General features: G+C 41.6%; 1 protein-coding gene and 1 long non-coding RNA gene across 10 annotated transcripts in view; both read right to left on the bottom strand.

Annotated features, from left to right (window-relative positions):
- Window positions 1-15,713, bottom strand: part of TSNAX-DISC1 (TSNAX-DISC1 readthrough (NMD candidate)) — a 512,620-nt gene that overhangs the window by 79,041 nt on the left and 417,866 nt on the right. Inside the window, exon 13 of the long non-coding RNA NR_028393.1 lies at window positions 3,344-3,404. This is a non-coding gene — a long non-coding RNA (TSNAX-DISC1 readthrough (NMD candidate)). The remainder of the gene's footprint in view (window positions 1-3,343; window positions 3,405-15,713) is intronic.
- The window catches only part of DISC1 (DISC1 scaffold protein), a 414,483-nt gene that overhangs the window by 79,041 nt on the left and 319,729 nt on the right, over window positions 1-15,713 (bottom strand). For 6 of the 9 annotated variants that reach the window (NM_001164537.2, NM_018662.3, NM_001012957.2 and 3 more), the window contains one exon: window positions 3,344-3,404. The exons of 1 other annotated variant lie outside the window; for it this stretch is intronic. In NM_001164537.2, coding sequence (NP_001158009.1) covers window positions 3,344-3,404 — 61 coding nt within the window. Of the gene's footprint in view, window positions 1-2,728; window positions 3,405-15,713 lie in introns of those variants that run through there. 2 more of the 9 variants (NM_001164542.2, NM_001164546.2) reach the window with 1 other exon arrangement.

Below are 15,713 nucleotides of genomic sequence, written 5' to 3'. Positions count from 1 at the left end.
ACAAATAACTCTATTAAAAAGTGGGCAAAAGATATGAACAGGTACTTCTCAAAAGAAGACATACAAGCAGCCAACAGAAATACAAAAAAAGTTTAACATCATTAATCATCAGAGAAATGTAAATCAAAACCATAATGAGATACCATCTCACATTAGTCAGAATGGCTATTATTAAAAAGCCAAAAAACAACAGATGCTGGAGAGGTTGTGAAGAAAAGGGAACACTTATACATTGTTGGTGGTAATGTAAATTAGTTCAGTCACTGTAGAAGCAGTTGGCAGATTTCCCAAAGAACTTAAAACAGAACTGCCATTCAACCCAGCAATCCCATTACTGGGTATATATCCAAAAGAGAATAAACCATTCTACCAAAAAGACACATGCTCTCGTATGTTCATCACAGCACTATTCACAATAGCAAAGTCATGGAACCAACCTAGATGCCCATCAATGGTGAAATGGATAAAGAAAACATGGTACATTTATACCACAGAGTACTATGCAGTCATATAAAGAATAAAATCATGTCCTTTGCAGAAACATGGATGTAGCTGGAGGCCATTATTCTAAGCAAATTAATGTAGGAACGAAAAACCAAACACTGCATGTTCTCACTTGCAAGTGGGAGCTAAACACTGGGTACTCATGGATATAAAGATGGGAACAATAGATACTGGAGACTGACAGAGGAGGAAGGGAAGCAAGGGTTGAAAACTAATTCCAGGGGTACTGTGCTTACTACTTGAGTGACAGGATCAATCATACCCCAAACCTCAGCATCGCACGATACATCCATATAACAAACCTATACATATACCCCCTGAATCTAAAATAAAAGTTGAACTTATGAAAAAGAAAGAAGGAAAGAAATTCTCTGACCTACCTTATCTGACTGTAGGTCATAGACCCTCATTTCAGAAGGAGTCCTGTCCCACACCTGAAGGAAGAAACGCTGCACAGAGAAGCTGGGGAATCTGAACACACAGGCCCTGTGGGGTTTTCCCACTCAGTCTATTTGTGGTAGGTCACAGTTTCTGTCCAATCACATTGCTACATGGTTGTCCATACTTCAGTCACACCTATCCAGTGATGTCCCCACAAAAGGCCCAAGAGGAGAGGGTACAGAGAGCTTCCAGATAGCTGAATATGTGGAGGTTCCTTGAAGATGGTGTGCCCAAGGAGGGCATGAAAGCTTGGTGCCCCTTTCCCATACCTCACCCTATGCATCTCTTCTTCTGTATCCTATGTAACCTCCTTTATAATAAACCAGTAAATATAAGTGTTTTTCTGAATTTCATGAACCAGTCTAACAAATTAATCAAACCCAAGGAGGGGATCATGGGAATCCCAATTTCTAGTTGGTTGGTCAGAAGCCCAGGCAAAACAACCTGGGCTTGCCATTGGCATTGTAAGTGGGGCAGTCTTGTGGGACTGAGCCCTCAACCTGTGGCATCTGATGCTGTCTCCAGGTAGCTGGTGTCGGAAATGAGTTAGAGGACACCCAGCTGGTATCTGCAGCAGAACTGATTGCTTACTTTTTGGTGGGGAGAAACCCTCATGTATTTCATCACAGAAGCCTTCTGTGTTGATTATTGCATTGTGTGAGAACAGAGGAAAAGCAGTTTGTGTTTTTCCACTCATAAGTGTCCAATCAGTTCTAATGATATAAAGAAGGAGGTGGCCGGGCACGATGGTGCACACCCGTAATCCCAGCACTTTGGGAGGCCAAGGCCGTGGATCACCGGAGGTCAGGAGTTTGTGACCAGCCTGACTAACATGGTGAAACTCCATCTCCACTAAATATAAAAAAATGAGCCGGGCATGGTGGCACTGCCTGTAATCCAAGCTACTTGGGAAGCTGAGACAGGAGAATCGCTAGTACCTGGGAGGCAGAGGTTGCAGTGAGCTAAGATAGCGCCATTGCACTACAGCATGGGCAATGAGCGAAACTTCATCTCAAAATAAATAAATAAATAAATAAATAAGAAGAAGGTAAAGGAAACTAATGCGTGCCTACTACCAATCACATGAATGCTTTACATATGGTATTTAAATTCACACACCAGCTGGGGAGGTAGGTACCTTTCCTCCAGTTATATAGCTAAAAAAACAAAACAAAACAAACTGAACAGAAAGTGAGCACTTACCTAAGGTTAGGCAGTTTTTATGTGGGAGAGCTGCAATTTAAATGGGTGTCTCTTTACCAATACCCACGTGCTTATGGCTACCACTGGCTGCCTGATAACCTAATGTAACTTACGGTGTGTGCTGTGCTGATGGCTAAAACAATGGCAGCTGCAGTTGAGATCAAGAAGGATGTGCCAGAAATCTGCCCCGAACACATGCGAGAGGAGGAAGGCCAGACTCAGAGCGGAGCATCTGACCCAGGTGCAAGCTCTCCTCATTCTGCTCACCTCTGCTAACCACCTGTGTCATAGATTCTTCCCAAGTCTAGGAGCATGGGAAGCAGGGAAAGATCAATCAGGAGGTTATAGGACGGCTTTCCAAGGATGAGAATAAATCCTGTAGTGCCTTGCTTACCCTGAAGAGTAGGGCTCTGCAAGGCAGGCCCTCTCAACATCTCTTAATGGAAAAGCAGCATTTTAGCTCAAGACAGCGTCCTAGCAGACAAAGGCTTAAGGCATAGCCTATCTAAAGAGTTACTTAACAAATTCCAAAATAATAGCAAAATGGTCTCCATAAAACTAAATGACTTCCAGGGAAGAAAGCGCATATTCCACTCTAGTACTTGTTGCCTTAATTAGGAACAGATTCTGATGACTGGGATTTATTTTCCTAAGCACACATCCACAAAAGCCAGAAACATCTTGTCATGCTGCAGCATCCCTGACATTTCTCAAAGATGAATTCCTAATTGGGTTTTAAAAAAAGCAACCAGAAATTTTCATGCTGGTTTTGATTCAGGATTCAAAACAGAACCTAAGACGTGCATTTCTATATTATTCCAAACCATGTATAAACCGCCTTAAAATCCTTAAGACCCCCCTCAAACACTAAAGTTTAAAAAAGGGAAAAACAGACTAAGGAATGAATTCTGAATTTAATATAGTAAAGAAGATTCTTCTCTTATGGAACATGAAAACTCTCCTGTGATCTCTCCAAGACACTTTTAAACATCTTAATCTACTTACTTTTTAAAAGACAAGATGAGGGCTGGCACCTGCTCTTTCACTGATGGGGTTCAAAAGGCTTTTTTGTGTCTTTCTTTGTTAATTTATTAGAGAAACTGGCCAGCCTTTTTCATCGATTTAACTAAATTCTGTTATAATAAAGAATCTAGATGTGCTACGGAGTCTGAAATACAGAAATTATTATCCTTACCTGCACAGTTTATTCTTAAGTGTTTCCATGTACTTCATAGTATTTTCCTTCACACTTGTTTCTGGGGGAAAAAAAGGAAATCCAAAGTTAATGCAACTGCAGTCACAATTGAATAAAAACCATTCAACTAAAAGCTCAAAGCCAAAGGATTGAGGTCAAGCCACTAGTAATCGTAACATTCTATGTTTGGAAAACACTCAAATCCACTGGAGTGGCTGCCTGAAGTCATGAGTTGGGGAGGATTCCGGGGCTCTGAGTGTCTCTGCAGGAGAAAGTCAGAGGCTGGAGCAATAGCGCTGAGCCAGCCTTGCTGTAGTCTTTAAAAAGCAGCTCACTGATAGTCTATCACTGGATGACATGTGCTCTATCTCTTACCTTTCCCAACTGATAGCCATTGGCTCGGTTGTCCAATACAGGGAAAGAGAACCTGACAGTGTAATGATTCCCATCCTACAGATGAACCAGAAGAGCCACACTAGGGGTAGAGGAGGATTGTGGAACCTTTCATTGAGAAATAAACATAAACATGGGATTCTGCCAGTAACTAGAAATCAACTGCTCAACATCCAATGAGTGATGAGATCAGCTACTCTTTGAGATAAACTCAGCGCTTCCTAATTACCAAATGTTGAAGGAATGAATGATTGCTATGGTTCAGCAGATCAAAGAGGCACTTTACGGATAAAAGAGATTTGATATACTTTGAACAAGTTCTCCCCTTTTGCTCATCCGAGGAATGAAGGTGCCTTCCTCTCAAGATAATAACTAACAGACGTGCACACCAAGTGCCTGGAAGAACACCTGCAGCCAAGGGGTTTCTAGCAAATGGTGGCTGGAATTATCAATGGTGCTGCCATGTCTATTACTAGTATTATTATTGTTATTGTGGGTTTTATCATTGTTTTTATTACAACCTTTATTCTGAAGGGTTATTTATGCTGAAGGGCTCATGTACTCTAAAGTTGGAGAATGTGGAAACACAGAAGCCAGGCTGCCCAGATTCATGCTACTGGAGTGTCTGGGGATTCTTAGACTTCTATTTCAGTCAACGTGTATGTGTAAGGTGAGGGACTGTGGAACTGGAAAAAGTACCCTGCCATTCCTCATAAAGAAACTAAATATTTAGATGGAAATTAAAACAATTAAACATTCTGGTTCATTAGTCCATAAAAGATAAAAAGAGACATTTACACAATGAAAACAACTGTTTAAGTTGGTATCTTTTTTTATTGACTTATGCTGGTCTAACACACAAACTTAGTTGTGCTAGCTGGAGCAATTATTGCAAATTCCAAATGCCCAAACCAGAAACGCCCTCTCTGTTTCACATCCCATACATATTTATGTGCCACACACTGTTCTAGGCATGTGAGATAGCTCAGTGGACAGAAGAGGTAAAGATTCCTGCTTCTGTAGTGCTTCCATTCTGGCAGCAAGGGATGCTAAAGAATAAACATAAAAATTCCATAAAACATTAGAAGGTGGTAATGACAATAAGGATTTAAGGGGAAAAAAAAAGACAGCAAGTGAAAAGGGGCTGTAGAGTGGTCAGGGAAGGCATCACTGGGGAAATGACACTCCATAAAAGTTTGCGGAGGGAGGGAAGAGGGCATCAACAGGCATCTTGTGAATGGAGTAGGCAGTCTGAAGGCCCCAGGGCAGAAGCACATCTGCATGCTCTAGCAAGTGTGGCCGGAGCCAAATGTTCCATAGGGAGAAAAGATGAAGGCAGAGAAACAACCCAGGTCCAATCAAGCGGGCCACTGTGGTAGACTATAGTCTCAAAATGGCCACAGCAATATTTCTGGTACCACATACTCTTCCAGAACCTTGCCACTCCCTATCAAGAGGTAAAGACTATTTCCCTCTTCTTGAATGTGGACAGGCTGTGACTGCTCCAACCCACTGAGTATGATGGAAGGGATTCTATAACTCTTCTGAGGCTAGAGTCCAGTTTCTGCGTGGCTCTCTGTCCTGGGAACCCAGCCACCATTTTGTGAGGAAGCCCAAGCCACATGGAGAGGCCCTGTGTAGGTGTTTAAGCTGAAAACCTGGGTGATGGTCTTAGAATACATCCAGCACCAACCTCCAGATACCTGAGTGAATGAGCTTTCAGGTGGTTAGTGCCTCTGAGTCTGAGGGACCCAGACATCGCAGGATGGAGACAAGTCCCCCCCACTATACCCTGTCTGAATTCCTGACTCACAGAATTTTGCACATAATTAATGGTGATGTTAAGTCATTAAGTTTGGGGATGTTTTGTTGCACAGCTGTAGTAACTAGAAAGCCACTATCAGGATTTTGAGTGTTCTGAGTGGAATGGAAAAACACTGTAGAAGAAAAAAATGAGATTGACCTACAGCAACTATGTTGAGAATACACCATAAGGGAGGATGGGGTGGAAGCAGAAAGACATGGAGGAGGTTAGTGCAATCGTCCAGGAAAAGATGATGGAGATGTGGAGGAGGAAAAGTAGAATATTTTTTCTCACCCATCACCAGGGTCATGGCTGACACCCCTATAACAAAAGACAGGTTAACAAGAGAAAGGCATGACAAATTTATGTGACCAAAGTTTTATGTGATATAGGAGCCTTCAGAGATGAAGACCCCAAGACCCAGAGAAAACTGTCTATTTTTGTGCTTAGGTTCAATGAAGCATATGAAAAATGGACAGCTGTGTAGAAACGTGATTGGACAAAAACATGATCTAATGGTGATAAACTGGAGCTCAGCATGGCTGTTTGTTCAGAATCTCCTTGGCCTCTGTGTAGCATTCCTTCCCTCCACATTGGGGGGCAGGGCAACTGTCACATAAGGGTCTTATGCTCACCTTTCAGGGAAGGTAAGCAAGAGAGTCCTTTAAGATCAGCTCACACAGAAAGACAGCAGATGGTCAGAGTACCCTTTCTGCTTCTGCTGTTTTCTCAGTTTCCAAGGTGCTGTACTTTGTAGTATCATATTCTATGTCCCAATAGGGACTTAAACTAGTGCATTAGCAGGAGTTAGTGATAAGTGGGCAGATTTTAGATATATTTTAAAGGTAGAGACAATAGCTTTCCTGGTGGGTCAAATGCCAGGTGTAAGAAAAAGAAAAGTTGGCTGGGTGCGGTAGCTCACACCTGTAATCCCAGCACTTTGGGAGGCTGAGGTGGGCGGATCACCTGAGGTCTGGAGTTCAAGACCAGCCTGGCCAACATGGTGAAACCCCGTCTCTACTAAAAATAGAAAAATTGGCTGGGCGTGGTGGTGGGTGCCTGTAATCCCACCTAGTTGGGAGGCTGAGACAGAAGAATCCCTTGAACGTGGGAGGCGGAGGTTGCAGTGAGCCGAGATCGTGCCACTGCACTCCAGCCTGGGCAACAAAAAGCAAAACTCTGTTTCCAAAAAAAAAAAAAAAAAAGTCAAGAATGACTACAGATTTTTACCCTAAGCCACCAGAAAAAAAACAGAAATTGCCATCAACTGAGATGGGAAGAATGAGAAGTGAAATGGGTTTGGGGAGACAAGAATTTGGCTTTGGATTTGTTAAATTTCAGAAGTTTTTAGAAATTCAGTGGAGATGTCAAGTGTGAGGTTGGATATCTGAGTCTGGAGTTTGGGAAAGTTCTGGAACAGAGACATTTGGGATTGGCGTTTGAAGCAATGAGACTGGACAGTATCACTAAGGAAGTGGGAGTAACTTAAGAAGCCCTTGCTGATCGTACGCAACGCGCCATTTATATTGTGATAGCACCTTCTATCCGATGGACAAAAATGGACACACCACCTGAAGAAAAGAAAGCCATATTCTTATGTTTAAAAAGAATCTAGATGTCTATCAAGTTAATCACTTTGTTAAGAAACTGAATGCTAAGTATTTGCCTCATCTCAGTGTCTGAAGCACCAGTTGGTGACACGCTGGACCTGCACAAGAACTTCCAGGCAAAGCCATGGGCTTTTCTTCTTGCCTGGAGGCTGCCATCTAAGGAGAATGCTATGTTGAACTATTACTTTCTTTGGACCCAACTTATCTCCCAGCCAGACAGCCTAAAAGTACCTTGCATGTATTCACTAAGTTGACTCACAACCTTCAAGACAGGCCAAGACTGTAGACAGGGAGTTTAGATTTTAAACTTCCGAATCAATACAGCCACAGACACGCTGACGGAGAATAGAGCTCACCTTTTCCTCTCTTCTTACTCCCCTCCTCTTCCTTTCTTCCCTACCATTTTAGGTCCAGTAGAGCAGGGACCTATGAGAATGGCAATGGTAGTAAGGCAAGGTTCCAAGAAGCAAAGAGGGCGCTCAAAGAAATGCTGAATACAAAATGAAATGCTACGAAACAAACAAGACCAGAGGACTGCAGACCCCCTTCCTGATCAGGAAGAAGCAGGAACACATTCACTGTTTCTGTTTATTAAGGGAATCTGATATTCAGGTTCAGGCCATGATAACAGAGTGGAATTCATACAATTAGTTTGATGAATCCAATTAAACAAAAACTTGGATTAACAGATTGATAATTAAATGCCATAAATCAGTGAAAACAGTAGAGTGCATGAAACACACATCATGCTACAGGAGTTCAATCTGGGTCCTCCTTCATGCAAGACCATATACTTGGCACTAATTAAATAGAAAAAGGACACGGCTTCCAGGGACACAGAGATAGCTGTGGGACCAGCCTCTTTAACACTGATTTCTCACTGGAGTGCACAGCAACATTTTCCATAAATATTCATCATAACCAATAATCCAAAAATATCCCTATGAGTCTGATGGGAAAAAAAATAACCAAGCTACCCAGCAACAGCTTTTTCAGTGTAAACACGGAAGTTGGAAGGTAGAAGAATGTCAACACGGAAGGTAGGAGAATGTTAAGTGGGAGGAAGTCCAACGAGGTTTCAATGAATTGTATCCCTTGCATAAGGGGACAGCAGTATTTGACATGAAAATAGCATGGGAAATGAGTAACACCCAGGCAGACTTGCTATCAGATTGAATGGACCAGTGATTTGAAGAAACTCCAGCCCCACCACCCTCAATTAATAAGGAAGGCATCCTCAGACGGGATCAGTACGATACGATCTCACCTTTGAAAATGGAAGCCAAAGGGACCTCCCCAGTTTAGCATTAATGGCAAAGTTTGTCAAACATTAGCCACGTTATTGGAATTTTCTAAATTAACATTAAGTACCAAGTGAGACCTGGCCTACATTTATGAAAATAAGTCATCAGATTTCAAAGATCAATATTCAAGAATCAATTTAGATAAAATTAACTCCCACTTAGTAAAATCTTTCAGAAGGAAGATGTGAAAGACAAAGGAGAAATTTTAGAACTCTGAGAAATTTTCAAATATCTAAGGTATTATGCTGTCTTCGAGTGAATGAAAGAACCTTTGTTCGGATAATTAAATCATGCATGAGGATGAAGAGGTAACATAATCCTGAAAAGACCCAGGAAAGTCAGCAATACAGGAAAATGGACTTGCAGCTGGAATGTCTTGGCAGGTAGGATGGCATAAGATTGTGTAAGTCCTTGAAAGATGGTAGATTCTTTCCATGAAGTCCTACGTGAGTGAAATTTCACACTGAAGGGCAAAATGGAAATATCAACCATGAACCCCTAAAACCTAGAGAGTTTTGTCTGCTCATACGCAAATGATATTGACTGTCACATTGGAGACCCACTGTGGGGACACGCGTGATATCAATTTAGCTACCATTTTACTGAGCACTTTCTTTTGCAAGACCTGTTTTAAACACCTTATTCTAAACATGAACTAAATAATAGTATCAGTGAAGCAGCTCTACCATTATCACCATTTTACAGTTGGTTAAATGGAGCAGCAGTAAGGTTCAAAGTCACACTGCCAGTAAGGGATAGTTCCAGAGCTCATTGTTACAAAACACATGACTTCAACTTCATATAACATGACAGCAGTTAGTGCACATGAGATGTGAAATCTCAGCACCAACAAAATGAAGCAGGTGTTCAAAGACACTAAATTCAGGGGAGGCCAAAGGCTGTGCTGTAAAAAGTCAGAGTTACAAAGAGTACTGACCATTGCAAAGACCAGCCATCAATAAATGAAAATCTCATTGTTTGTAAAATGTAGGGAAGAACATTACTAGTATATCAGCATAAAATAAATCTACATTGTGTAAAATAAGTTTATATATATATATACATATATATATATATATATATATAAACATATATATATGAGAGACAATAGGCCAAGGTGATTTCAAAGTAGGTTGCAATGAGAAAATGATTAACAACTTTCTAAAGCATATATCTACATTGGCTCTTTCTCCCCAGTGAGAGGTTAATTGTGTGATTTTACTAAAAGATTTTGATTTGCATGTATAAATTTATTTATTTGCAGCATTTCAAATATAGCATTCTGCTATCACCTATCTGTGGTAGTTCTAGTTTAGCTAGAACTCTCAAGAGAGGATTTCTGAGTTCAACAGAGTTCAGTCCTTCCCAGGCTTTTGACTACTCAATATAAATTCTCTAGATCCAGAGCCAAATAAATGCATCATTACCAAACTAGCAAGGGATTCATTTCTCATTGTCAGGGCATCGTTCAGTATGTTGTTGTTAATTCTCTGTCTCTTTTTCTCTGATGTTGATAAGATGTTTACAGAGAGAAGGAAAATTAACAGATATGAGTCCTACTGATTTAATAAGTGGTAACAGGGAAAGGGTTTCTCTTTGGAGTTATACCTGACTGTCATTCATACATTCATCTAATGTTTTTTCTTTTTCTTTCTTTTCTTTTCTTTTTTTTTTTTTTTTTTTTTTTGAGACATTGAGACAAGGTCTTGCTCTGTCACCCAGGCTAAAGTGCAGTGGCGTGATTATAGCTCACTACAGCCTTGAACTCCTGGGCTCAAGTGATCTTCCCACCTCAATCTCTTGAACAGCTGAGACTTGAATAGCTGAGTCAGGTGTGAGCCACTGTGCCCAGCTAATTTTTTTTTTAATTTTTTTGTAGAGATGAGGGTTCACTTTGTTGCCCAGGCTGATCTCGAACTCCTGGCCTCAAGCAGTCCTCTCACTTCCACTTCCCAAAGTACTGAGATTACAGGTGTGAGCCACCACACCCTGCCTCTAATGTTCCTTAAATGCCTAACACATGCCAGATTCCATGTTAGGCACTGGGGCCACAGAGGTGAATATCACGCTGCCCGTGGGCTTAAGAAAATCAGGCTTGGTAACAGAAAGAGTCACATCAATAGATGACTAATAAAAGCAACAAGTTAGATTCAATGATAAAAGCAGCAGTCATTCTCAGAGCGTCATGGAGGGAGATTTGGCCCAGCTTGAGGGGGTTTAAACATGACTCCCTGAGGAAGTGACTGAGTTAGAGATCTTAAAGGATTTTCCATGCTAGCTGATGCAGGAGGAGGCATGGATAATCCAAAACAGCAGTTGCACATAAAATAAGATTTGTGTTTTAGAATAGCAGGCATTTCATGTCATATCATTTTACCTTCCCAATTATTTCCAAATCATTTCCCTCCAAGCTTACATTATGATCACTAGATGGACTACATGATCCCACACCAAAGGAAGACAGAGTAGCTACAGGAAATCAGCCTGTCCAAAAGCACAGGCTCTGAGCTTCCATCACTGCCCTAATAGCCACATTTGAATGTGGAAGTAAGATTAACTCATTCTTCCAGCTTTTCACCTTTGAGTAACGCGAGTGAGAATGCTGAGTTATAGTAAGTAACTTCATGCTGGCAAAGGTACCCAAAGAACAGAGAGTGAGAAAGTGTTTTCAGAACTGGGACATCATCCTGTGACTCAGTTGTCCATGAAAAAAGTAAAATCAATTATTCTGAACTATGTTGATGCCTCCACTTCCACTGTTTTGTCCTGTGGGGTGGTGTGTGGCTGTTGCTTCCCAGTGAGTCACCACCCTCAGAGAGTTCTGCCCCATTGCCCTTGAACCCTGGAGCACATCTCAAAGACCTGTCTGTCTTGATACTTACATAGGTAGACACAGCTCCTTGCTTAGACAGGAAGGGAGAGTGGGCAGGATGAAGGAAAGGAGAAATGAGTAAGGAAGCTCCACCAGGTTTAAAAATGTTTGCTATGTGGCGAGTGCTTATAGTAGATAAAGCCCAGGTACCGATTTTACCTGCTGTGCCTGTCACTAGTTAATTGGGTATCATCTAATATGGTAATTCTCACTTTCCCAGTTCAGACCTGCTCCTACATGCAATCTCCTGACACCCTTGAAGCACACAGTCTAATAAATCCGCACAAGTCAATGACAAAAGAAAAACCAAATGCTTGCGGTATGGAAAGCAGGTCAGTAAAAAGCTAACACTATCAGTTCCAAGCAGGTTCACTTCACAGCCTCCCACTCACGTGCCTTTGTCAAATGCTTTTTCTAAATGGAAAGACAGGCTAACTTTTCTCAGCAATCCCTGCTGACAGCAGCAGGCATATTTGGGTTTGCTTTCTTGCTTTCTGGCGCATATAACTGAAAGAGTTGTGACCTGGAGATTAATTTACAGTATTTTTTAAATTGCTTAGAATGCCTATTTACTGTCTTACCTAGTAGTATGCAACTGAGAATATGCAGTCTCATTCTTTGATTCTTTCTCCTGTTATTTCCCTGAAATATGGGCATCACACACACACACACACACACACACACACACACACACACACACAGAATTTTTTTTCATTCTTTTTTATAGACAGAAGAAGGAAGAAAATTTGGGACTTTGTTTTAAAAGTGGAATACTATCTTCTTAAACAACTTGTGTTTAAAACAAGCCCCAATCCACACTTGATCTTCTTAAGCTAGGAAAAGTGAGCTCACACTGAGTGCTGGCAGGATGCTCCATGTGCATCATTATTTTGTTTAATTCTCACAATAACTCTCTAAATCCCTTTTGAGGATAAGGAGACTGGGGCTGGGAGAAGTTATTTCAAGGAGTAAATAAAAAATTCAGACCCACTTGGGTTTTATGCCAAAGGCTCTGTTTTTACAAATACACAATATTGTTGCCCAGTTGTGATGAAACATAATTTATGAATTTCACTGAGGGAATTTCGCAAAAGGAAAGAATTTACTTTTCCCTCTAAAGCAGAGGCTTTTCATATGCAACTGTTAAAAGACACACGAGCTTGTGGGTCTGATGGGTGGTCTGAGCTGTTGCTGTTGGGAGAGCTGCTGGGACACTAGCAGGAAGACGTAGTTTGTGCTCAGTGGCCAAGGATGGCGCCCCCGTAAGGCAGCCAGATCCGGACTACGCAGTGTTTTCCAGGCTGGAGGTGCCCTCCTCAACTGTCTTACAAAGTTCCCAAGCAGCCAGCCCAAATACTGCCTGCTCCTTATGCCAAATGGATTTGGCAGGAAAAAGGCCAAATTGGCCAAGCAGAGGCACAAAGTGAGGTCAGAACAACTTCCCATTTGAGGAAAGCCTTTTGTTGGCTATAAAGTTCCATTCATCACTCCAGGCCTTACTCCCACCTCAAAACACACACATGCTGTCCACATCCAGGCACCGGCCCTCACCCCCAAGTGGCCTCACTATGCCTGACTGGGCACCTTTTGCTTATAAACATAGTCTCATTAGAGGCCAAAGATGCTAAGACAACGTGCCCCGGCTAGTAAGACACACACAGAGGTCTCCTCTCCTTTAATATGCAGGTGATAGATACATGGGTGATGAACAAGTATGTGTAAAAAATTAACACAGGAAGGCCGGGCACGGTGGCTCACGCCTGTAATCCCAGCACTTTGTGAGGCCGAGGCAGGTGGAACACGAGGTCAGAAGATCGAGACCATCATGGCTAACATGGTGAAACCCCGTCTCTACTAAAAATACAAAAATTAGCTGGGCGTGGTGGCACGCACCTGTAATGCCAGCTACTCAGAAGGCTGAGGCAGGAGAATCGCTTGAACCCAGGAGGCGGAGGTTGCAGTGAGCCGAGATCGCACCACTGCACTCCAGCCTGGGCAACAGAGTTGAGACTCTGTCTCAAAAAAAAAAAAAAAAAAAAAAAAATTAACACAGGAAAAATACAAATGATTGAATATCTGCTTCAATCTAGAATAGCCCTTGGACCTGCCCAAGAGGGGCCCCTGCCCTGGGCATCATGATAGAGAACCCTCACTTCCAGATTCCTCCAGAATGCCCCTCTGCATGGTGAGGCAGTCACATGGCCAAAAGATTTGCCCCTTCAATTCTGGTTTGTGTTCTTGGTACCCAGAACACGGGAATTTCCTGCCCAAATGTCCCTGGGAGCACTTCTTTTTTTTTTAATTATACTTTAAGTTCTAGGGTACATGTGCAGAACATGCAGTTTTGTTACATAGATATACACGTGCCACGGTGTTTTGCTGCACCCAACAACCGGTCACCTACATCAGATATTTCTCCAAAAGCTATCCCTTCCCGAGCCCCCCACCACCCGACAGGCCCCGGTGTGTGATGTTCCCCTCCCTATGTCCATGTGTTCCCATTATTCAGCTCCCACTTATGAGTGAGAACATGTGGTGTTTGGTTTTCTGTTCTTGTGATAGTTTGCGGAGAATGGTGGTTTCGAGCTTCATCCATCTCCCTGCAAAGGACATGAACTTATCCTTTTTTATGGCTGCATAGTATTCCATGGTGTATATGTGCCACATTTTCTTTATCCAGTCTATTATTAATGGACATTTGGGTTGGTTCCAAGTCTTTGCTATTGTGAATAGTGCCACAATAAACATAAGTGTGCATGTGTCTTTATCATAGAATGATTATAGTACAATGATCCTTTGGGTATATGGGATTGCTGGGTCAAATGGTATTTCTAGTTCTAGATCCTTGAGGAATCGCTACACTGTCTTCCACAATGGTTGAATTAATTTACACTCCCACCAACAGTGTAAAAGCATCCCTATTTCCCCACTCCCTCTCCAGCATCTGTTGTTTCCTGACTTTTTAATGATCGCAATTCTAACTGGCATGAGATGGTATCTCATTGTGGTTTTGATTTGCATTTTTCTAGTGACCAGTGATGATGAGCATTTTTTTATACGTCTGTTTGTTACATAAATGTCTTCTTTTGAGAAGTGTCTGTTCATATCCTTTGCCCACTTTTTGATGGGGCTATTTGTTTTTTACTGGTAAATTTGTTTAAGTTCTTTGTAGATTCTGAATATTAGCCCTTTGTCAGATGGATAGATTGCAAAAATTTTCCCCCATTCTGTAGGTTGCCTGTTCATGCTGATGATAATTTCTTTTGCTGTGCAGAAGCTCTTTAGTTTAATTAGATCCCATTTGTCAATTTTGGCTTTTGTTGCCATTGCTTTTGGTGTTTTAGACATGAAGTCTTTGCCCACGCCTATGTCCTGAATGGTATTGCCCAGGTTTTCTTCTAGGATTTTTATGGTCCTAGGTCTTACGTTTAAGTCTCTGATCCATCTTGAGTTGATTTCTGTACAAGGTGTAAGGAAGGGGTCCAGTTTCAGTTTTCTGAATATGGCTGGTTAGTTTTCCCAACACCATTTGTTAAATAGGGAATCTTTTCCCCATTGCTTGTTTGTGTCAGGTTTGTCAAAGATCAGATGGTTGTAGATGGGTGGTGTTATTTCTGAGGCCCCTGTTCTGCTCCATTGGTCTATATATCTGTTTTGGTACCAGTACCATGCTGTTTTGGTTACTGTAAGCTTGTAGTATAGTTTGAAGTCAAGTAGCGTGATGCTTCCAGCTTCATTCTTCTTGCCCAGGATTGTCTTGGCTATGTGGGCTCTTTCTTTGGTTCTGTATGAACTTTAAAATAGTTTTTTCCAATTCTGTGAAGAAAGTCAGTGGTAGCTTGATGGGGATAGCATTGAATCTATAAATTACTTTGGGCAGTATGGTGACTTTGATGATATTGCTTCTTCCTATCCATGAGCATGGAATGTTTTTCCATTTGTTTGGTCCTCTCTTATTTCCTTGAGCAGTGGTTTGTAGTTTTCCTTGAAGAGGTCCTTCACAACCCTTGTAAGTTGTATTCCTAGGTATTTTATTCTCTTTGTAGCAATTATGAAAGGGAGTTCATTCAGGATTTGGGTCTCTGTTTGTCTGTTATTGGTGTATGGGAATGCTTGTGATTTTTGCACATTGATAACAGCAACTTTGCTGAAGTTGCTTTTCAGCTTAAGAAGATTTTGGGCTCAGACTACGGAGTTTTTTTAATATACAATCATGTCATCTGCAAACAGAGACAATTTGACTTCCTCTCTTCCTACTTGAATACATTTTATTTCTTTCTCTTGCCTGATTGCCCTGGCCAGAACTTCCAATACTATGTTGAATAGGAGTGGTGAGAGAGGGCATCCTTGTCTTGTGTTGGTTTTCAAAGGGAATGCTTTCAGTTTT

The sequence above is a fragment of the Homo sapiens genome, chromosome 1, assembly GCF_000001405.40.
Source record: "Homo sapiens chromosome 1, GRCh38.p14 Primary Assembly".
Lineage (NCBI taxonomy): Eukaryota > Metazoa > Chordata > Mammalia > Primates > Hominidae > Homo > Homo sapiens.
This window is presented reverse-complemented; position numbering and strand designations above follow the sequence as displayed.